The sequence below is a fragment of the Homo sapiens genome, chromosome 10 (assembly GCF_000001405.40).
Source record: "Homo sapiens chromosome 10, GRCh38.p14 Primary Assembly".
Taxonomy (NCBI): domain Eukaryota; kingdom Metazoa; phylum Chordata; class Mammalia; order Primates; family Hominidae; genus Homo; species Homo sapiens.
In genome coordinates, this window is record NC_000010.11 from 98,914,532 (window position 1) to 98,938,105 (window position 23,574).

At 40.1% G+C, this 23,574-nt stretch overlaps 1 protein-coding gene and 1 non-coding gene across 15 annotated transcripts in view; both read right to left on the reverse strand.

Moving 5' to 3' along the window:
• The window catches only part of HPSE2 (heparanase 2 (inactive)), an 858,875-nt gene that overhangs the window by 457,455 nt on the left and 377,846 nt on the right, over positions 1–23,574 (reverse strand). The window lies entirely within an intron of this gene.
• On the reverse strand, positions 9,968–10,037 carry MIR6507 (microRNA 6507). Its single transcript, NR_106762.1, has one exon. It is a non-coding gene; the product is annotated as a microRNA 6507 (primary transcript).

Below are 23,574 nucleotides of genomic sequence, written 5' to 3' on the forward strand. Positions count from 1 at the left end.
AGGCCAAATAGCAAACACTTCTTAATCCAGGGCAACTGTACTTGGTAACTTGATGTAACATCAGCTGCATGTCTGATCTAGTATGTTCTTACATATAGAATAAATGTTTAATAAGAAAGGTTACCCAGATCCCAATAAATATGTACAATTCTTATATGTCAATTTAAAAAATAAAATTATAAAAGAAAAGTTACCCAGGTCCTATGAAAAACCACCCTAGTATAAGCTGATAAATCTGAACCATGGCAGCATTAAGATACCTGTCCTCTAATACTAAAGGGCAAAGGGAAAATAGAAGATGGATATCCATCTGTTACCAAACTGAAGCCAATTTGGTGAGCTTCACCCCAACACCCGACTCCTATGACAAAGATCAATTTAAGAAAAATCCATTATAAAACTTTCCGAAGATAAAGCAATATACAAAAGTATACACACAGGATAATCTCAACCATTTAGAAAGTCATATGCACTGAAAAAAAAAACCACTGGAAGGAAATATGCCAAATCATTGACTGCTTTTGTCTTTGATGATATAATTATTTTTCTTCTATATACTTATATAACCTCGATAAACTTTGATGTAATTTTATATTGTTCTACAGTTTTCTAAATTTTCCTTTTTTTTTTTTTTGAGATGGAGTCTCACACTGTTGCCCAAACTGGAGTGCAGTGGTGTGATCTCTGCTCACTGCAAGCTCCACATCCCAGGTTCATGCCATTCTCCTGCCTCAGCGTCCCGAGTAGCTAAGACTACAGGCACCCACCACCATGCCCGGCTAATTTTTTGTATTTTTAATAGAGACGGGGTTTCACTGTGTTAGCCAGGATGGTCTTGATCTCCTGACCTCCTGATCTGCCTGCCTCTGCCTCCCAAAGTGCTGGGATTATAGGTGTGAGCCACCGCGCCCAGCCCAATTTTCCATTTTTTTACAATAAGCAAGCAAGAAAATAAATGTTAAAAGAAAAATGAGAGGGAGGGAAAAATTTACTTATAAATAAATGCTTCTAGAATCTTTAGAACACCATCATCTATTCTGAAAGATAGAATCATCAAAACTCTGTACTCACGCTTTAACAACATAACCAAAAGCCTAACACTTCACATGCCCCAGTCTCTGGTCTTTTCTGTGCTTGCTTTTCCTCTGTGAAAACTTGATAAAATGCTCTCAATAATCTTGTTCCATGAAAAGTGTGAATGAGAAGAAAAATAAAGAGAGCAATTTTCAAGTGGGAAAAGAAAGAGCATGCGGAAAGGAATGACTGAAACTTTCAGAGAAATGGGTAGAAATGCATATAAAACTCCAAATGAGATACAATAGAAGCTGGGCTTACCAATGGGGAGGAGAGTATGGAAAGAGTGCAATGGACAGGAGAGGGTAGTGTACAAAGAAAGGATAGAAGGAAACACAAACTTTGTATGACTTTTTTTTCCACATAGGATTCACAACATTCCTCAGAAAATTCAATTTAGTTGCCCTGTTCTAGCTTGCTAACCAGAACCAATTTAATTTTAAATCTACACTCAGAGCCAACGGGGATGAGATATTTTGCAATTCTTTTTAGCTCCCTGTTGGAAGACAGAATCAGATTTAACCATTTCTGCTCTGGCTGTGATAACCATCCAGGTTTGTCAGAGGACCAAATGGTGTTCTTTGAAGATTAAAGAATATAAAACTGTACCAAAATTACTTGCTATGTTTAACAACTTAATGGGAATGCATTTTTGAGGATGTGACAAATTGCTCTTGATTTATCTGCACAGGGCATGAAATACTGGTACAAGAGAGCAATTTGTTACACAGACAATGTCTACCCCTTGCTGTAAATTTGCCCACTGTCACATACTATTTGACATCCAGTTAGGTGATTTTAAAAAACTAGTTTATTACTGCATCTAATGAAGAGCAGAAAACTGATATATGACTCTCTTAATTCTTCTCAGCTACCAGGAACACATTTCTCACATATCAGTTTATGAAACTGTTTCTTGGTTTTATGTTCTGTTGTGACAGATAGGTAAACAAGCTGATAAAATCAAGTGCTTTCAAAAGGGAAAAGTTACCATATTCATGTAGGCCTCTGGCTTGTCACAAAACTTCAAACAGTTTCTGGTTCTGCTTACCATCTGCACAGATTTATTCCAAAGAACATAACAAACTTTGTTTCTTGATTTCTTTCAACATAAATAGAAATATTAAGTTTGGGTGTTTATATTCTGGAAGATAGTCAGATAATCTATTCTGATTAACCTTAACACATAGGTCTGGCCCCTGCCTGTATACATAGCTCAGTCCCAGTCCCTTCCTCTGAATTTCCTTTTAATCAGCCTCAGCCTTTTCCACATCCATATTGCTATGAATATCTCTAGAGCATCTATCTTCAGAACCATTTGTTTACCATGCCTCCTACTGGGAGGAAATGAGGCTGCTATTGGTCTGACTGAAGTTCCCCTTAGGCTATATGTGGTCTGTCTTTATTAAAAGCAAAATAAAGGCCTCACATGGGGACTTGGCAACTATTACAAGGGTTGTGCTGGGTTTTTCGATTCTTGCTTTTTTGTTGGGGGTGTATGAAAGGAATCAACAGATCCATCCAAGACTATTTTATCATTGTCAACTTACATGCAGACCACCCTGACACCCCCACTCACTATTAGTCTGTTGAAAATGGGAAGAATTTGAGAGGGAAACACTAACATTTTTAATAGAAACAATTCTTATAGCCAAATAAGAACTAAGCTACAAAGGTTCTAATTATACATTAGGTATTCAATAAACATAATGGTGATTCCAGAATTGTATTTTGTATGCCATCATCTAATTTATAAGTTGGCATCATCAGATTCAAACACTGAGTGGAAAAAAACTCAGCAATATAAATTATATAAGCAATCATCACGTGAGTGGGTGGAAATGATTCTGAAACAGATAATTCTGAAATCAATCCTGAAATAGGACTATTTGAAAGGATTAACTTCTGCCTTAAAATCCTAGCTCTACAACTTAACTTCTCTGAGCATCCAATTCTTCACCTTTAAAAGGAAAATAGTATTTTCTCTCTCAGAGAGCTGTTCTGACATTTAAGTCACCCAGTTTGGTGCCTGAATGAGGACTCAATAAATGGTACCTACCCTTATTATTATTATTTTTCTCATGGATTGTTTTCACTTACCACTGTAAGCTGAACGATGAATGAATAAATAGGTGAGTGAAAGTGAATGAATGAAGGAACAAATAAACGTTTAGTAACACTTGTACAGGAGAAACTGGTAGGCATCCAGCAAGGAAGTTTCATTTCTTTTCTGTTAGTCTTTCTGATGGCAATGCCTGTAGGGAATTTTAATGAAGAGCCAGCATACATCATTACAGTTTTCTACAGATACAACACAGTATAATTGTTCAGGTACAGGTTATACAGAAATTAAAGTGATACCAGTTCAGGGCCATACTTGCAAGATAACTCAGGCCGTCAACTCTTGCCTCTTGCGTCATCACATTTCTGTACACATATGTTATACACATAAAATGTGTTGACCCAGTAGTGAGGCAAGTAAGGCAACTGCTCTCAAGTAATGAAAATGGAGAAGATTAAGATAAAAGCATCAACAATAACAAATCTATTTACTGAATATTTAAACTGAGTTTTCTTACAGTTCCTTAAATACATTTTCATTTTATTCATTTACATCCCATTACACAAACATTTGTTCATTCAACCATTGTGGAAGTCAGTGTGGCGATTCCTCAGGGATCTAGAACTAGAAATACCATTTGACCCAGCCATCCCATTACTGGGTATATATCCAAAGGATTATAAATCATGCTGCTATAAAGACACATGCACACGTATGTTTATTGCGGCACTATTCACAATAGCAAAGACTTGGAACCAACCCAAATGTCCAACAATGATAGACTGGATTAAGAAAATGTGGCACATATACACCACGGAATACTATGCAGCCATAAAAAATGATGAGTTCATGTCCTTTGTAGGGACATGGATGAAATTGGAAATCATCATTCTCAGTAAACTATCGCAAGGACAAAAAACCAAACACCGCATGTTCTCACTCATAGATGGGAATTGAACAATGAGAACACATGGACACAGGATGGGGAACATCACACTCTGGGGACTCTTGTGGGGTGGGGGGAGGGGGGAGGGATAGCATTAGGAGATATACCTAATGCTAAATGACGAGTTAATGGGTGCAGCACACCAGCATGGCACATGTATACATATGTAACTAACCTGCACATTGTGCACATGTACCCTAAAACTTAAAGTATAATAATAATAAAAATAAAAAACAAAAGGACAATTAATAAAAAAAAGACTCTGTAGTACATATTGTGGAGCAATACAAAGAATGTAACTCAATTTTGGCATAGTTCAACCAATATTTATTGAGTACCTCTCATGGGCCAAGCATTGTGCTAGGTGCAAGGGTTGTAAAGAAAAATAAGATACAGCCTGGGGCCTTAAGAAAAAGGCACAAATAATTAAAATATAAAACATAGAGCCTGCAATTACAGACTGCTAAGAGATTTAATAGTAATATAAAAGATAAAGTGATCAATGCTGACTAGAAATCAAGAAAAACTTCAAACTAAATACCTGACCAGATATTTAGTAGCAGTGTGTAAAGTGAACAAGTAGAGCACATTCTACACAAAGAAACGAGTATACACATAAGCAGATAATATGCAGATGTGTAATTGGTTCCATAGCACTGGACTAGAAAGCATGAAGGGGAGAATAGAAGGAGATGAAGTTAGCAAAGTGGACATAGATAAATTCATGAAATGCCTCATATGCCATGCTACGGAGCTTGGATTATTTTTTCCTTCTAAATGCTAGTAAGCCATTGAAGGCCTCCAAAAATGTCAGATTTGGGTTGGAAATTATACAGAAGGCAAACTAAACCGCGACAAGATTAGAGGTAGGGAGAAAAGATAGGAAGCTACTAAAATAACCCAAGGAAGTGAGGATGAGGGAACTAAGCTAATCTAACAGTACAGGAATAGAGAGAATGAATACATTTTAAATATATTCAAGAGATAAAATTAACAATCATTTTAGATTAATCAATATTAATGGAAAAATAAAAGTGAAAAGTATGTACAAGTGTGTTCTTTCTGCTCATATCAGAACAGAAATCTGAAGCATTTAGAAAAAATATTAGATACCAAGTGGCAAAGTTTTAACAAATTCCAGAAAAAATAAAAATAAAAGTACAGATAGTTGGATATGGTGTCTGGAAAAGAAGGAACGAAGAGGTTTTTATGGAGGATGCTTTGATACTACAGTATTTACTTTTAGGAAAAAAATATCACTGAAATGGAAAGTCACTTCTTGTTTCACTTGACATTAGCAGTAAATTGGAAGAAAGTACTCCAGTGTGGCAAGACAATATGTAACGGTGGCAGACATGGAGGTGCACTGCTCAGATCTCCTGTCAAGAGAACCTGCTGCTAGAAGCATAGCTGTCTGATAGTCTCCAGCTGCTGTATGTTTAGATCCATTGCAGTGTTCACTCTGAGGTCATGCTCCCCACTTCCACACCTTCTGACCCCTATGCTGCTCCCAGGCAATGACTAAGCACAGAAGGCACAGTCAAGCTAAGCCATCCTTTCCCTGTAATGTGGGATTTCTATAATGGGGAACTTTTGCTTAAAGACTTCTGTTCCCAGCCTGGCCAAGACTTTCTCAGAACTGCATTACGGACTGGGGCTCTTCCTGCCCAATTTTCTTTCTTTCCTCTGCTCCTTTCATAGATATCAGACCTGCATCACTGGCTGAAGGCTCTCCCTGCCTACTCCTGCTCTCTTCCCCTTTACTCAGCATGGATATTTCTCCAAATAAAACTTATGTGTCTAACTGCATCTTGGTGTCTGCTCCTCAAAGGACCTTAACTGACACAATACTTTAAGTAAATGTATTAAGAATGAAAATCACAGGGAAATGTGAATTCCTCCTCAGAGCATCTTGCATGTAAACCACCCTGACCTCAGGGTTTTCTTAAGAGTACACAACCCAGCCCAGTGTTTAACAGCCCTCACTGTCAGATATTTTACTCCTAAAGACTTACCCACCTCCCTTGGGCCATATGTTCCATTCTAACTTCCAGAACATCTTTTACTAACATTTCATATAATTGAATTAAATTAAACTTCCCATAAAAACTGGATTGAACTAAAAAGAGTGAAAACTCTATTCCATAAGAATTTTATTTTCAACTAAGTGAATTCTCAGCTTAAATAATCATAGTCTGCTCTTTGAGCTCCAGGGGCACAAGCAATTCAGGCAGACAACATAGTCTCCTCTGGAGTACAACGTTCATCCACCTTCTCAGGAGAATTTGCCTTTCCTGCTGCAAACAGCTTCGTCCAGCTGCCAGTAGAATATTTGGATGACATTGCCTTAGAGTCAACACACAAGAATTCTAGTCAAGGGAGGCAGTCTGACATCATAGTTAAGTGTGCAGGCTCTGTACTCCTACACACTTGCATCTAAATCCTGGTTCTACTAGGTGCTCAAACTAGGTGACTTCAGGCATGTTTCCCTCTGCCCCTCTCTGATCCTCCATTCTCTCATATGTAAACTGAATATAATACTAGTACCTATCTCATATGCTTGTTGTTAGGACTAAATGGGCCAAGGCAGATGAAGCATTTAGCACAGTTTCTGGCACATACTGAGCACTCAGTAATTGGAAATTATGTATGTCATTGTTGTTAGTGGAAGCATCTGCTCTGAGAATAAATGGAGTTGTTTATCTACACTGAAGAAACCAGTGGCCATATAAAATGATCTGGCATTTTTCTTTTAACTAGAAAGCTGAGAAGCTATGTACGTGGCCACACATTAAGGCTCAGCCTTCACTCACAGCAGCAAAGGGAAAGCTGGCCTCTTTCTGAATTAGGGGTAGACAGCTGGAGAGGGCCAAAAGAGGGATTACCAGAAGATTACGATGGTCAGGGGAAAGCTGAAATAACTATTTTAACAGACAATTTGTGCTCCAATTACCATCTAAATGTTCATGGTAAATAAGAATCCATAAAAACACATCTGTAAACCCCCAATTTTAGTGACTGGAGCTTTGCATGGTTCATTAGCACATACTCCTTTGCCCAACTGTGACATCACTTATCAGCAGACCTTCTCCTTTCATATTCCCCAGCAGCTGAGGCCAGTGCTCCATGAGGACATTTTCTGAAATCAATGCAGTCACAGATTTCTTCCCACAGGTGCAGGAGAAGCTTATTAGGTGAATATCTTTCATGGAGTTCTGTCACCTACACTCTTGTTTCTCTTTTAAAGTAAGGGTTAGTAACTATAAATAAGTAGGTGCCAATTCATGGGGAGAGACTGGTGTGCTGCATGCAAGTGATTAGCTGTAAGGAAAGGGCTAAGTCTCAGATCTGCACTCTAGACCTGTGATGTCCAACAGAATTACAATGTAAGTCACAAATGCAAGTTACATTTAAAATTTTAAATTTTCTACTAACCACAAGAAGAAAAAATTAACAGATAAAATCAGTTTTAGTTAATAGAAATGATTTAATTACCAATATATCTAAAACATTCTTTTAACATGTAATCAGTATAAAATTATTAATGTGATTTTTAATATTTTATACTGTTTTCAAAATCCCATGTGTATTTTATACTTGCAGCACACCTCAATTTGGACTTGCCACATTTCAAGTGCTCAGTATGTCCATGTGGAGAGTGGTTACCAAATTGGATAGTGCCCTTCAGGGGAGCTGGACTGGGAAATGACAAAGTTCTATAAAAGACCAAGACACTGTTATGGATGTTTGTCATTTTGGGGTACCTAGCATCTTTTGAACACTCTTTCTGTCCTGGGGTAGCTTGCATATTATGAGTCTCATTTCATGAAGATACGAGGGAGAACTCAATTTCTCAGATTCCCTTTCAGCTAATGCATTGGAAGGTAACGCATGCTTGACCAGTCAGAAACAACCATATGAGATTTGAATTGTAAACAGAAAAAAATGAAGAACATGGCCCTGTATACGTGGAATTAATTTTCTGGCAAGGCTGATGGTGAAGGTATCCAGCTTTCATGGGCACCAATTGGGGTGATCTGATATCTAGTACTCAGAATCCATAAATACATGGTATAATATACTTCAAGTATGGCCAGCAGCAGAGACAGTAGGGGCCTTGCTGGCACCATTCCAAACAAACACGGAAAAAGAAAACTAAAAAAACTCCACATGTTAACTTAGTGCCCTGGCTTTTTAACTTCTTGTTGTTTCTCTTTATGTCTTATTGTACTGTCTATGTCTTGAAAAGTTGTTGTAGCTGTTATCTTTGATTGGTTCATCGTTTATTCTTTCTACTTTAGTCAAGATAAGTTTATACATCACAACTACAAAGTTATACTATTCTGTGTTTTTCTGTGTGCTTACTATGGTAATAATGAGTTTTATATCTTCAGATGATATCTTGTTGCTCAATAACATCATTTTCTTTCAGATTGAAGAACTCTCTCTAGCCTTTCTTATAGGATAGGTATGGTATTGAAATCCCTCAGGTTTTATTTGTCTGAGAATGTCTTTATTTCTCCTTCAGGCTTAAAGGATATTTTCTCAAGATATACTAATCTAAGATAAGAGTTTTATTCTTTCAGCACTTTAAATATCTCATGCCACTCTCTCCTGACCTGTAAGGTTTGCACTGAAAAGTCTGCTGCCAGACCTATTGGAGCTCCACTGTGTGTTGTTTCTTTTCTCTTGCTGCTTTTAGAATCTTTCTTTATCCTTGGCCACTGGGAGTTTGATTATTAAATGCCTTGGGGTAGTCTTCTTTAGGTTAAATCTGCCTGGTGTTCTATAACTTCTTCTACTTGAATGTTGATATCTTTCTCTAGGTTTGGGAAATTCTCTGATACTATCCCTTTGAATAAACTTTCTATCCCTATCTCTTTCTCTACCTCCTCTTTAAAGCCAATAACTCTTAGATTTGTCCTTTTCAGGCTACTTTCTAAATCTTGTAGGCATGCTTCATTCTTTTTTATTCTTTTTCCCTTTTGTCTCCTCTGACTGTGTATTTTCAAATAGCCTGTCTCTAGGCTCACTAATTCTTTCTTCTGCTTGATCAATTCTGCTATTAAGAGACTCTGATAAATTCTTCAGCATGTCAACTACAGTTTTCAATTCTAGAATTTCTGATTGATTCTATTTAATTATTTCAATCTCTTTGTTAAATTTACCTGATAAAATATTGAATTCCTTCTCTGTGTTATCTTAAGTTTCTTTGAGTTTCGTCAAAACAGCTATTTTGAATTCTCTGTCTGAAACGTCATATATATCTATCTCTCTGGGATTGATCCCTGGTACCTCATTTAGTTCATTTGGTGAAGTAATGTTTTCCTGAATGATGTTGGCACTTGTAGAAGTTCTTTGGCATCTGGGCATTAAAGAGTTATGTATTTATTGTGGTCTTCACAGTCTGGGCTTATTTGTGCCTGTCTTTCTTGGGAAGGTTTTCTAGGTATTCAAAGGGACTTGGGCCCCAAGCCCAATAATACGGTGGGTTTTGTACACTCATAGAGGTACTGCTGTGGTGGTTGTGGGTAAGATCCAGAAGAATGCTCTGGATTACCAGGCAGAAACCCTTGTTCTTTTCCCTTACTTTCCCCAAAACACATGGAGTCTCTCTCTCTCTGTGCCGAACCACCTGGAACTGGGGGGTGTAGTGATGCAATCACCCCTGTGGCCACCACCACTGGGACTGTGCTGGGTCAGACCCAAAGCCAGCACAGCAATGGGCCTTGCCCAAGGCCCTTCCCGTCAGGGTAGTGAGTTCTTGTAGGCTCCAGGTGTGTCCAGAGATGCTGTCTGGGAGCCAGAAGTTGGAGTCAAAAACCTTAGAAACTTATGTGATGTTCTATTCTACGGAAGCTAAGTTGAGGGAAAGGAAGTAAAGTGGAGGGAAAAATAGGAAGGACTTTGCATGGTACTGAACCACAATACAAAGTCCCTCCTATTCTTCCCTCCCCTTTCCACAAGATGTAAGACAAAGTACCCTTTAACTTTGATCTCCTCTCCTTAAACGGAAAGAAACAGTCACTTCCATTGCTACAAGCTGCAATCCTGGGTTTGGGGGAGGGATGACTTCTCTTTACTCTCCCATAGCTGTGCCAGCTGGTGTCTCCCTAGGTCATGTTCCACTCCTAGTTCACTGGCTTGAAGCCCAGCCTAGCACTAGGAGTTGCCTAGGAATTGCAGTCTTTGTGTCCTAGACTGTCTTTCAAGTTTACCTAGGACCCCAGAGCACTTTAGCCCTAAGTGGTGAGGTTTGCACAGAAACTCAAGTTTGGACCACTGGGATGGGTGACCCCCCTCTGGCTAGGGCTGGTCCAGATGCTCCCATTGTGCACAGGCAATGGCTGAGCTCAATACAGCTTTATTCTCCACTGTAACAGGGCAGCACTGAGTTCAATGTAAAGTCGCCCAGCAGCTGTGCTCTCCCTCCCCAAAGTGCTCAAGTTCTCTCTCTGCACTGCATGGCCACTGCTAGGGGATGGAGGTGAGGTGGTGTCAGTGATTCTAAAGTATCTCTTCTGCCCTCCTCAATGCCTCTGTCGTTAAATCCAAGTACTGTGAATATGACGTTAAATCCAAGTACTGTGATTGCACACTTGATTGTTGGTTTTTGTGATGGGGCTTTTCTGTGTACAGATAGTTGTTAAGATTTGGTGTTCAAGCCAGAGGGACAAACAGTGAAGGCTTCTATCCCAACCATCTTGCTCCACCTCCCTAGATCTTATTTAAACCTTTTATTTTAATTGGCTTTTTTTTTTTTGACACTGCTCTGGCAGGGTATAAGTGAGGGCACTGCTTTGTTTCTGCCAGGTGGATGTCAAAGTCCAGGTTGCCCATTCAGCCTTCATTCACACCAAAGGGAGGCTCCTCATTATTGCTGAGCAGGTGGGTAAGTTCCACATCTCCAGAGTCTCAACTAATACTGCAGTGAAGTGGGAGGGTGTTCCCTCAATATCAACCAATGGGGATGAAGTGCAGGCTCTCTACTTGGACACCATCCTGGCAAGGATGTTGCAGGAGCACATTAGAGTTTCATGAGGGTAAGTCCAGGCTCCCTACTCAGCCTTTGTTTGTGTGAGAAATAGGACACAAATTTTTTATGACATTTGGCTAGGGTGGAGTGGTTATTGTGTAAAACCTTTCTGTCTTGCTAGATTGGTCCTTTATTGTTCTCCTTGGCTAGAGAAAACTGGCTTTTGTTGGGGTCTTTTGTGTTTGTATTCATTGAGATTTCCAGGTTTCCAGCTTCTTCAGCGCCAAGTTTGGGATATTAAAGACAAGAAGAAAACCCAGGGAACTCACCATCATGTTGTTCCTTGGGTTCTTGGCTGACTTCTTTTCAACCTCTGAGTCTTCTTACATGTTTTTTATATATAATATTTAGAGTTTTTAGTTACCCTTAATAGGAGGAATAGGGGAAAGTATATTTACTCTGTCTTTTTGGCAGTAGAAGTAGGTGTCATTGCCTTTTAAAATACTGAATATACATTCTTTATTATCTATATCCCCCTGGTAGAAAGTGAACCTCAAAAGGGCATGCTTTTTGTATGGCCATAGTAACTTATTGAATGAATTTATAAAGCCACAAATGCGTGCTATTGGAAAATACATCATTTTTAAGTTTTATTTTTTAAATTGGTGCTGAACCAGTGGGAGGAGGTCTGAAGGTCAATAGGAATGAAGGAAAGGTCTACATAAGAATTACAAGTAGGAGACAAAATTAATATTAAATATAACCAGATGGTAGTGAAACAGAATTTACAGAGCTCAACTGAGGGAAGGTAATGGTACAATACAGCTAGGATTACCCACTCTTGGAAACAGATCTAATTTAGTCTCCTTCATGATAAGCAAGCACTAAATAAAGCATGAGAAAAAGGAGGCATGCTTCATATTAGCTTTTTGGGTAGTAGAAAAAGTTTGGTCCCCTTAAACTGTCACCAACCTGTCTGCCTAAATACCTTTTTATTGTCTTCCCTTCTAATCACTCTCTCTCCAGCATTGAAAACAATGCTCAAATATCAACCTGTCTTCAAGGCACCAATAAATAAGCATGAGACATACTTTTCCCACCAAGCCCACAAGGTAAAAAAATTTTAAAAGGCAGTGATTAGGACACATTAAATTAAAAGTTGTGATACATCTTGTCCCTTACTTATCCTTATTTTTCCCATGCCAGGAAAAGTCTGCTCCCAAACTGTAAATTAAAAGAAAAGGAACATCTTTATTTCTACCTTCATTTCGTTATGTACCCAGTAGTCACTCAGGAGCAGGTTGTTCAGTCTCTATGTAGTTGAGCGGTTTTGAGTGAGATTCTTAATCCTGAGTTCTAGTTCGATTGCACTGGGGTCTGAGAGACAGTTTGTTATAATTTCTGTTCTTTTACATTTGCTGAGGAGAGCTTTACTTCCAAGTATGTGGCCAATTTTGGAATAGGCGTGGTGCTGAAAAAAATGTATATTCTGTTGATTTGGGGTGGAGAGCTCTGTAGATGTCTATTAGGTCTGCTTGGTGCAGAGCTGAGTTCAATTCCTGGGTATCCTTGTTGACTTTCTGTCTCGTTGATCTGTCTAATGTTGACAGTGGGGTGTTACAGTCTCCCATTATTAATGTGTGGGAGTCTAAGCCTCTTTGTAGGTCACTCAGGACTTGCTTTATGAATCTGGGTGCTCCTGTATTGGGTGCATATATATTTAAACCACTGCTCAAGGAAATAAAAGAGGATACAAACAAATGGAAGAACATTCCATGCTCATGGGTAGGAAGAATCAATATCGTGAAAATGGCCATACTGCCCAAGGTAATTTATAGATTCAATGCCATCCCCATCAAGCTACCAATGACTTTCTTCACAGAATTGGAAAAAACTACTTTAAAGTTCATATGGAACCAAAAAAGAGTCCGCATCACCAAGGCAATCCTAAGCCAAAAGAACAAAGCTGGAGGCATCATGCTACCTGACTTCAAACTATACTACAAGGCTACAGTAACCAAAACAGCATGCTACTGGTACCAAAACAGAGATATAGATCAATGGAACAGAATAGAGCCCTCAGAAATAATGCCACATATCTACAGCTATCTGATCTTTGACAAACCTGAGAAAAACAAGCAATCGGGAAAGGATTCCCTATTTAATAAATGGTGCTGGGAAAACTGGCTAGCCATATGTAGAAAGCTGAAACTGGATCCCTTCCTTACGCCTTATACAAAAATCAATTCAAGATGGATTAAAGACTTAAACATTAGACCTAAAACCATAAAAACCCTAGAAGAAAATCTAGGCATTACCATTCAGGACATAGGCATGGGCAAGGACTTCATGTCTAAAACACCAAAAGCAATGGCAACAAAAGCCAAAATTGACAAATGGGATCTAATTAAACTCAAGAGCTTCTGCACAGCAAAAGAAACTACCATCAGAGTGAACAGGCAACCTACAAAATGGGAGAAAATTTTCGCAACCTACTCATCTGACAAAGGGCTAATATCCAGAATCTACAATGAACTCTAACAAATTTACAAGAAAAAAACAAACAACCCCATCAAAAAGTGGGCAAAGGACATGAACAGACACTTCTCAAAAGAAGACATTTATGCAGCCAAAAAACACATGAAAAAATGCTCACGATCACTGGCCATCAGAGAAATGCAAATCAAAACCACAATGAGATACCATCTCACACCAGTTAGAATGGCAATCATTAAAAAGTCAGGAAACAACAGGTGCTGGAGAGGATGTGAAGAAATAGGAACACTTTCACACTGTTGGTGGGACTGTAAACTAGTTCAACCATTGTAGAAGTCAGTGTGGCGATTCCTCAGGGATCTAGAACTAGAAATACCATTTGACCCAGCCATCCCATTACTGGGTATATACCCAAAGGACTATAAATCATGCTGCTATAAAGACACATGCACACGTATGTTTATTGCGGCATTATTCACAATAGCAAAGACTTGGAACCAACCCAAATGTCCAACAATGATAGACTGGATTAAGAAAATGTGGCACATATACACCATGGAATACTATGCAGCCATAAAAATGATGAGTTCATGTCCTTTGTAGGGACATGGATAAAATTGGAAATCATCATTCTCAGTAAACTATCGCAAGAACAAAAAACCAAACACCGCATATTCTCACTCATAGGTGGGAATTGAACAATGAGAACACATGGACTCAGGAAGGGGAACATCACACTCTGGGGACTGTTGTGGGGTGGGGGGAGGGGGGAGGGATAGCACTGGGAGATATGCCTAATGCTAGATGACGAGGTAGTGGGTGCAGCGCACCAGCATAGCACATGTATACATATGTAACTAACCTGCACATTGTGCACATGTACCCTAAAACTTAAAGTATAATAATAAATAAATAAATAAATAAATAAATAAATATTTTTTAGTCTCAAAAATAAAAGGAAAAAAACAAACAAACAAGCTTAAGCTTTTATTTATCCATTTACCACCAAATGCCAGAATTCTACCACAAACCCATACCTTCTTTCCTATTAATACTCATGGTATATGATGTGTGCCCTTGTAAGCACAAATAGCAGGCACAAAGTTCCAGAAGCACACACCACTGTCAATATGCCAGGCAAAAGAACAAAGAAATTGGAAGCTTCAGCATCAGTGGACACTGCAGATCCTATAATCTTCCATTTTTCCACTGTTTATAACCTATAGCCAAGCAAGGCTTTCCTTGACCAGGGTTGTGGTACTACCTCTACTCCTGATAAAATAAAAATTTTAAAACTCTAGACTTCAGATTTCTTGTCTGCAAAATGGAAAATGGAGGTAGAAAAGATAATACTCAAGATCCTTTCTGGCCCTATTGATCCAGGTTTTTACATACTAAAGCTATCTTCATATTGAACAACGAGAAGATAAGCCCAGTTTTGTAAAGAAGCTGAGTGGCTTCTGAAGACCTAAGTTATTTGCCAGAAGAATTCCAACGTTCAAAAGTTGAAAGACTATAGATAAGAGGCTTGCTCTGGAGTGACCCAGAATTGTTTAATGTCCCTAATGGAGAAAAAATAAGACTATATATTCATATTTGCTTCTATTTCGATAAAGAAAGTCTAGAACAGACATCAGCAATCTACTGCCAGTGGGAAAAATCAGCCTAAGTTTGTGTTTGTTTAAAACAAACAGCCCATGAGCTGAGAATTATTTTTACATTTTTTAATGGTTGAAAAAAGTGAATATTTCATGACACAGAAAATTATTTTTAAACATTAAAATTTCAGTGCCATAAATAAAGTTTTATTGGCACATAGCCAATAAAATTTCAGTGCCCATAAATAAAGTTTTATTGGCTATTGGCCTCTAGCCATGATCTCTTGTATATGAGTGCTTTTTTAAAAAAAATTAAGTTCTGGGATACCTGTACAAGATGTGCAAGTTTGTTACATAGGTAAACGTGTGTCATGGTGGTTTGCTGCACCTGTCGACCCATCATCTATGTATTAAGCCCAGCATGCATCAGCTCTTTTCTCTAATGCTTCCCCCCTCCACTATCCACAACAGGCCCCAGTAAGTGTTGTTCCCCTCCCTGTGTCCATGTGTTCTCATTGTTCAGTTCCCACTTATAAGTGAGAACATGCAGTGTTTGGTTTTCTGTTCCTGTGTTAGTCTGCTGAGGATAATGGCTTCCAGCTTAATCTATGTTCCTGTAAAGGACATGATTTCATTACCTTTTATGGCTGCATAGTATTTCATGGTGTATATATACCACAGTTTCTTTATCCAGTCTATCATTGATGAGCATTTGGGTTGATTCCATGTCTTTGCTATTGTGAATAGTGCTGCAATGAACATAAGTGTGCATGTATCTTTATAAAAGAATGATCTATATTCCTTTGGGTATATACCCAGTAATGGGATTGCTGGGTCAAATGATATTTCTGGTTCTAAATCTTTGAGGAGTTACCACACTGTCTTCCACAATGGCTGAACTAATTTACATTCCCACCAACAGTGTACAAGCGTTCCTATTTCTCCACAATGTCACCAGCATCTGTTGTTTCCTAACTTTTTAACAATCGCCATTCTGGCTGGCCTGAGATGGTATCTCACTGTGGTTTTGATTTCTCTGTGATGTTGAGCTGTTTTTCATGTGTTTGTTGGCTGCATGTATGTCTTTTTTTGAGAAGTGTCTGTTCATACACTTTGCCTACTTTTTGATGGGGTTGTTTTTTGCTTGTAAATTTGCATAAGTTCCTTGTAGATTCTGGATATTAGCCCTTTGTCAGATGGATAGATTGCAAAAATTTCCTCCCATTCCATAGGTTATCTGTTCACTCTGATGATAGTTTCATTTGCTGTGAAGAAGCTCCTTAGTTTAATTAGATCCCATTTGTCAATTTTTGTTTTTGTTGCAATTGCTTTTGGAGATTTCTTCATAAAGTCTTTGCCCATGCCTATGTCCTGAATGGTATTGCCTAGATTTTCTTCTAGGGTTTTTATGGTTTTCGGTTTTACATTTAAGTCTTTAATCCATCTTGAGTTAATTTTTGTAAAAGGTGTAAGGAAGAGATCCCATTTCAATTTTCTGCATATAACTAGCCAGTTCTCCTAGCACCATTTATTAAATAGGGCATCTTTTCCCCATTGCATGTTTTTGTCAGGTCTGTCAAAGATCAGATAGCTGTAGATGGGCAGTTTTATTTCTAAGTTCTCTATTCTGTTCCATTTGTCTATGTGCCTGTTTTTGTACCAGTACCATGCTATTTTGGTTACTATGGCCTTGTAGTACAGTTTGAAGTTGGGTAGCATGATGCCTCTGGCTTTGTTCTTTTTACTTAGGGTTGTCTTGGCTATGCAAGCTCTTTTTTGGTTCCATATAAATTTTAAAAGTTTTTTCTAATTCTGTGAAGAATGTCAATGGTAGCTTAATGGGAATTGCACTGAATCTATAAGTTGCTTTGGACAGTATGTCCATTTTCACAATATTGATTCTTCCTATCCAGGAGCACGGAATGTTTTTCTATCTGCCTGTGTCCTCTCTGATTTGCTTGAGCAGTGGTTTGTAGTTCTCCTTGAAGAGGTCCTTCACTACCCTCATTAGCTGTATTCCTAGGTATTTTATTCTCTTTGTCACAATTGTGAATGGGAGTTCATTCACGATTTTGATTTCTGCTTGTCTGTTGTTGGTGTATAGGAATGCTTGTGATTTCTGCACATTGATTTTATATCCTGAGACTTTGCTAAAGTTGCATATCAGCTTAAGAACCTTTTGGGCTGAGATGATGGGGTTTTCTAGATACAGGATCATGTCATTGGCAAACAAAGACAATTTGACTTCCTCTCTTCCTATTTGAAATTTCCTTTATTTATTTCTCTTGCCTAATTGCACTGGCCAGAACTTCCAGCACTTGGTTGAAAAGGAGTGGTGAGAGAGGGCATCCTTGTCTTGTGCCACTTTTCAAAGGGAATGCCTCCAGCTTTTGCCCATTTAGTATGATATTGGCTGTGGGCTTGTCATAAATGGTTCTTATTATTTTGAGGTATGTTTCTTCAATATCTAGTTTATTGAGAGTTTTTAACATGAAGGTATGTTGAATTTTACTGAAGGCCTTTTCTGAATCTATTGGAATAATCATATGGTTTTTGTCTTTAGTTCTGTTTATGTGATGAATTACATTTATTGATTTGCATATATTGAACCAGCCTTGCATTCTGGGGATAAAACCGACCTGATCATGGTGGATAAACTTTTTGATGTGTTGCTGGATTTTGTTTGCCAGTATTTTATTGAGGATTTTTGCACAGATGTTCATCAAGGATATTGGCCTAAAGTTTTCTTTTTTTGTTATATCTCTGCCAGGTTTTGGAATCAGGATGATGCTGGCCTCATAAAATGAGTTAGAGGGGAGTCCCTCCTTCACAATTGTTTGGAATAGTTTCAGAAGAAATGGTACCAGCTCCTCGTTGTACCTCTGGTAGAATTCAGCTGTAACTCCATCTGGAGCTGGGCTTTTTTTTTTTTTTGGCTGGTAGGCTATTTATTACTGCCTTAATTTCACAACTTGTTATTGGTCTGTTCAGGAATTCAACTTCTTTCTGGTGCAGTCTTGGGAGGGTGTATGTGTCCAGGAATTTATGCATTTCTTCTAGATTTTCTAGTTTGTTTTTAAAGAGGTGTTTATAGTATTCTCTGATGGTTGTTTGTATTTCTCTAGGGTCAGTGATGGTATCCCCCTTATTATTTCTGATTGTGTTTATTTGAATCTCCTCTCTTTTCTTCTCTATTAGTCTTGCTAACAGTCTATCTATTTTATTGATTTTTTCAAAAACACAGCTCCTGGATTTGTTGATTTTTCGAAGTGTTTTTCAGGTCTCTATCTCCCGAGTTTGGTTATTTCCTGTCTTCTGCTAGCTCTAGGGTTTGTTTGCTCTTGGTTCTCTAGTTATTTTAGTTGTGATGTTAAGGTGTTGATTTGAGATCTTTCTAGCTTTTTGATGTGAGTATTTAGTACTATAGATTTCCCTCTTAACACTGCTTTAGCTGTGTACCAGAGATTCTGATATGTTGTCTCTTTGTTCTAGTTGGTTTCAAAGAACTTCTTGATTTCTGCCTTAATTTCATTATTTACCCCAGAGTCATTCAGGAGCAGGTTGTTCAATTTCCATGTAGTGGTGTGGTTTTGAGTGGGCTTTTTAATCTTGAGTTTTAATTTGACTGCACTGTGGTCTGAGAGACTTATGATTTCAGTTCCTTTGCTGAGGAGTGTTTTACTTCCAATTATGTGATCAATTTTAGAATAAGTGCCATGTGGCACCAAAAAGAAATGTATATTCTGTTGTTTTTGAGTGGAGCGTTCTATAGATATCTATCAGGTCCACTTGATTTAGAGCTGAGTTCAAGTCCTGGATATCTTTGTTAATTTTCTGTCTCAATGATCTGTCTAACACTGCCAGTGGGGTATTAAAGTCTCTGACTATTATTGTGTGGGGGTCTAAGTCTCTTAATAGGTCTCTAAGAACTTGTTTTATGAATCTGGGGGCTCCTGTATTGGGTGCATATATATTTAGGGTAGTTAGCTCTTCGTGTTGAATTGAACACTTTAACATTATGTAATGCCCTTCATTGCCTTTTTCTTTTTCTTTTCTTTTTTTTTTTGAGATGGAGTCTTGCTCTTTTGCCCAGGCTGGAGTGCAACAGTGTGATCTCGGCTCACTGCAAGCTCCGCCTCCTGGGTTCACGCCATTCTCCTGCCTCAGCCTCCCGAGTAGCTGGGACTACAGGCGCCCACCACCACACCCGGCTAATGTTTTTGTATTTTTAGTAGAGACGGAGTTTCACTGTGTTAGCCAGGATGGTCTCAATCTCCTGACCTTGTGATCTGCCCACCTCGGCCTCCCAAAGTGCTGAGATTACAGGCTTGAGCCAGTGAGCCTGGCACCTTCTTCGTCTTTTTTTATCTTTGTTGGTTGAAAGTCTGTTTTGTCAGAAACTATGACTGCAACCCCTGCTTTTTTCTGCTTTCCATATGCTTGGTAAATTTTCCTCCATCCCTTTCTTATGAGTCTATGTGCGTCTTTGCACATGAGATGTGTCTCTTGAATACAGCACACCAACAGGTCTTCTCTTTGTATCCAGCTTGCCATTCTGTGTCTTTTAATCAGGGCATTTTGCCCATTTACATTTAAGGTTAATATTGTTATGTGTGAATTTGATCCCATCATCATGATGCTGGCTGGTTAATTTTGCAGACTTGTTAATGTAGTTCCTTCATAGTGTCATTGGTCTGTGTACTTCAGTGTGTTTTTGTAGTGGCTAGTAATGGTTTTTCTTATCCATGTTTAGTGCTTCTTTCAGGAGCTCTTGCCAGGCAGGCCTGGTGGTGACAAAAATCCTTCAGCATTTGCTTGTCTGAAAAAGATGTTATTTCTCTTCTGCTTATGAAACTTAGTTTGGCCAGATATGAAATTCTGGGTTGGAATTTCTCTTTTTTAACAATGTTGAACATTGGCCCCCAATTTCTTCTGGCTTGCAGAGTTTCTGCTCAGAGGTCCACTGTTAGTGTCATGGGCTTCCCTTTGTAGGTGACCTGGCCTTTCTCTCTTAGTGCCCTTAACATTTTTTCCTTCATTTTGACCTTGGAGAATCTGATGATTATGTGCCTTGGGGCAGATCTTTTTGTGGAGTATCTTATTGGGGTTCTTTGGATTTCCTGAATTTGAATATTGGCCTGTCTTGCTAGGTTGGGGAAGTGGAAGTTGCCCTGGATGATATCCTGAAGGGTGTTTTACAACTTGGTTCCATTCTCCCCATCTCTTTCAGGTATCCAAACAGTCACAGGTTTGGTCTTTTTACACAGTCCCATAATTCTCAAAGGTTTTGTTTGTTCCTTTTCATTGTTTATTCTCTAATCTTGTCTGCCTGCCTTATTTCAGCAAGATAGCCTTCAAGCTCTGATATTCTCTCTTCTGCTTGGTTGATCTGGCTATTGATACTTCTATTTGCATCACAAAGTTCTCGTGTTGTGTTTTTCAGCTCCATCAGGTTGCTTATGTTCCTCTCTAGACTGGTTATTCTAGTTAACAGCTCCTGTAATCTTTTATCATGGTTCTTAGCTTCTTTGCATTGGGTTAGAATATAATCCTTTAGCTCAATAAAATTTGTTATTACCCACTTTCTAAAGCCTACTTCTGTCAGTTCATCCATCTCAGCTTTAGCCCCATTCTGTGTCCTTGCTGGAGACGAGTTACAATCATTTGGAGGAGAGGAAGCATTCTGGCTTTTGAGATTTTCAGCATTTTTGCATTGGTTTTTCCTCATCTTTCTGGATTTATCTACCTTTGATCTTTGAGGCTGACAACCTTTGGATAGGGTTTTTGTGGGGTCTTTTTTGTTGATGTTGATTTTGTTTTTGCTTTCTATTTGTTTCTTTTTCTTCTAACAGTCAGGACCCTCTTCTGCAGGTCTGCTGCAGCTTGCTGGGGGTCCACTCCAGACCCTGTTTGCCAGGGTATCACCAGTGAAGATTGCAGAACAGCAAAGATTGCTGCCGGCTCCTTCCTCTGGAAGCTTCATCCCAGAGGGGCACTGACCTGATGCCAGCTGGAGCTCTCCTATATAAGGCATCTGCCAACCACTGTTGGGAGGTCTCACCCAGACAGAAGGCATGGGGTCAGGGACCCTCCTGAGGAGGCAGTCTGTCCCTTAGCAGAGCTGGTGTGCTGTGCTGGGGGAAATCCCCCTCTTCGGAATCAGCCAATCTTTTCAGAGCCAAGAGGCAAGAAAGATCAGGTCTGCTGAACCTGGGACCACAGCCACCCCTCCCACCAGGTGCTCTGTCCCAAGGAGATGTGAGTTCTGTCTGTAAGCCCCTGACTGGAGCTGGTGGACTCCTGCAGGGATGCCCTGCCCGGTGAGGGGGTATCTAGAGAAGTAGTCTGGCCACAGCCACTTTACTGCACTGTGGAGAATTCTGCCCAGTCCAAACCTCCCAGTCTCCTTAGCCCTCTCAGGGGAAAACTGCCTACTAAAGCCACAGTAATGGTAGTTGCATCACCCCTGCCTGGGAATTCGATCCCCCCAGGCAGACTCCAGACTTCTGTACTTGCAATGGGAATTTCAAGCCAGTGGTTCTTAGCTTGCTAGGCTCCATGGGAGTGGGACCCACTGAGCAAGACCACTTGGCTCCCTGGCTTCATCCCCCTTTCCACAGGAGTGGACTGTTCTCCTGTCTCACTAGAGTTCCAAGTGCCACTGGAGTATGTAAAAACTGCAGTTCAGTGCCTGCCTGAACAGCTGCCCAGTTTTTTGCTTGAGACCCAGGGGCCTGGTGGTGTAGGCTCACGAGGGAATCTCCTAATCCCCAGATAGCAAAAATCTTTGGGAAAAGCATAGTACCCCCAGTGGGTAGCACAGTCCCTCACTGCTACCTTGACTGGAGAAGGGAGGTGCCCCCAACTCCGTGCACTTCCCAGGTGAAGTGACGCCCCACCCTGTTTCTGCTCTTCCCTATGAGAGCTTTTAATGCTACAAGAACAGAGTTCAGTCATTGTGACTGAGATTATATGGCCCATAAAGCCTAAAATACTTACTTATTTTGAAAGTTTTGGCCAGGTGCGGTGGCTCACGCCTGTAATCCCAGCACTTTGGGAGGCCGAGGTGGGTGGATTATGAGGTCAGAAGTTCAAGACTAGCCTGGCCAACATGGGGAAACCCTGTGTCCCCTAAAAATACAAAAATTAGCTGGGCGTGGTAGCACACACCTGTAATCCCAGATACTCAGGAGGCTGAAGCAGGAAAATCACTTAATCCCGGGAGGCGGAGGTTGCAGTGAGCTGAGACAGCACTACTACACTCCAAACTGGGCGACAGTAGGAGACTCCATCTCAAAAAAAAAAAAAAAAAAAAAAAAAAACAAGTTTTCCAACTTTTTGGAAAATTTTAAGTTTTTCAACCTCCTCCTCTACAACAATATACAATAACGTTTTAAAAATAATTACCTGTGACAATGGAGCCAAGATGGCTGAGTAGGAACAGCTCTGGTCTACAGCTCCCAGCGTTAAGCGACACAGAACACGGGTGATTTCTGCATTTCCATCTGAGGTACCAGGTTCATCTCACTAGGGAGTGCCAGACAGTGGGCGCAGGACAGTGGGTGCAGCGCACCGTGCGCAAGCTGAAGCAGGGCAAGGCATTGCCTCACTCAGGAAGTGCAAGGAGTCGGGGAGTTCCCTTTCCTAGTCAAAGAAAGGGGTGACAGACGGCACCTGGAAATTCGGGTCACTCCCACCCTAATACTGCGCTTTTCCGACAGGCTTAAAAAACGGCGCACCAGGAGATTATATCCCGCACATGGCTTGGAGGGTCCTACGCCCACGGAGTCTCGCTGATTGCTAGCACAGCAGTCTGAGATCAAACTGCAAGGCAGCAGCCAGGCTGGGGGAGGGGTGCCCACCATTGCCCAGGCTTTCTTAGGTAAACAAAGCAGCCTGGAAGCTCGAACTGGGTGGAGCCCACCACAGCTCAAGGAGGCCTGCCTGCCTCTGTAGGCTCCACCTCTGGGGGCAGGGCACAGACAAACAAAAAGACAGCAGTAACCTCTGCAGACTTAAATGTCCCTGTCTGACAGCTTTGAAGAGAGCAGTGGTTCTCCCAGCACGCAGCTGGAGATCTGAGAACGGGCAGACTGCCTCCTCAAGTGGGTCCCTGACCCCTGACCCCCAAGCAGCCTAACTGGGAGGCACCCCCCAGTAGGGGCAGACTGACACCTCACATGGCCCAGTACTCCTCTGAGACAAAACTTCCAGAGGAACGATCAGACAGCAGCATTCGCGGTTCATAAAAATCCACTGTTCTGCAGACACCTCTGCTGATACCCAGGCAAACAGGGTCTGGAGTGGACCTCTAGCAAACTCCAACAGACCTGCAGCTGAGGGTCCTGTCTGTTAGAAGGAAAACTAACAAACAGAAAGGACATCCACACCAAAAACCCATCTGTACATCACCATCATCAAA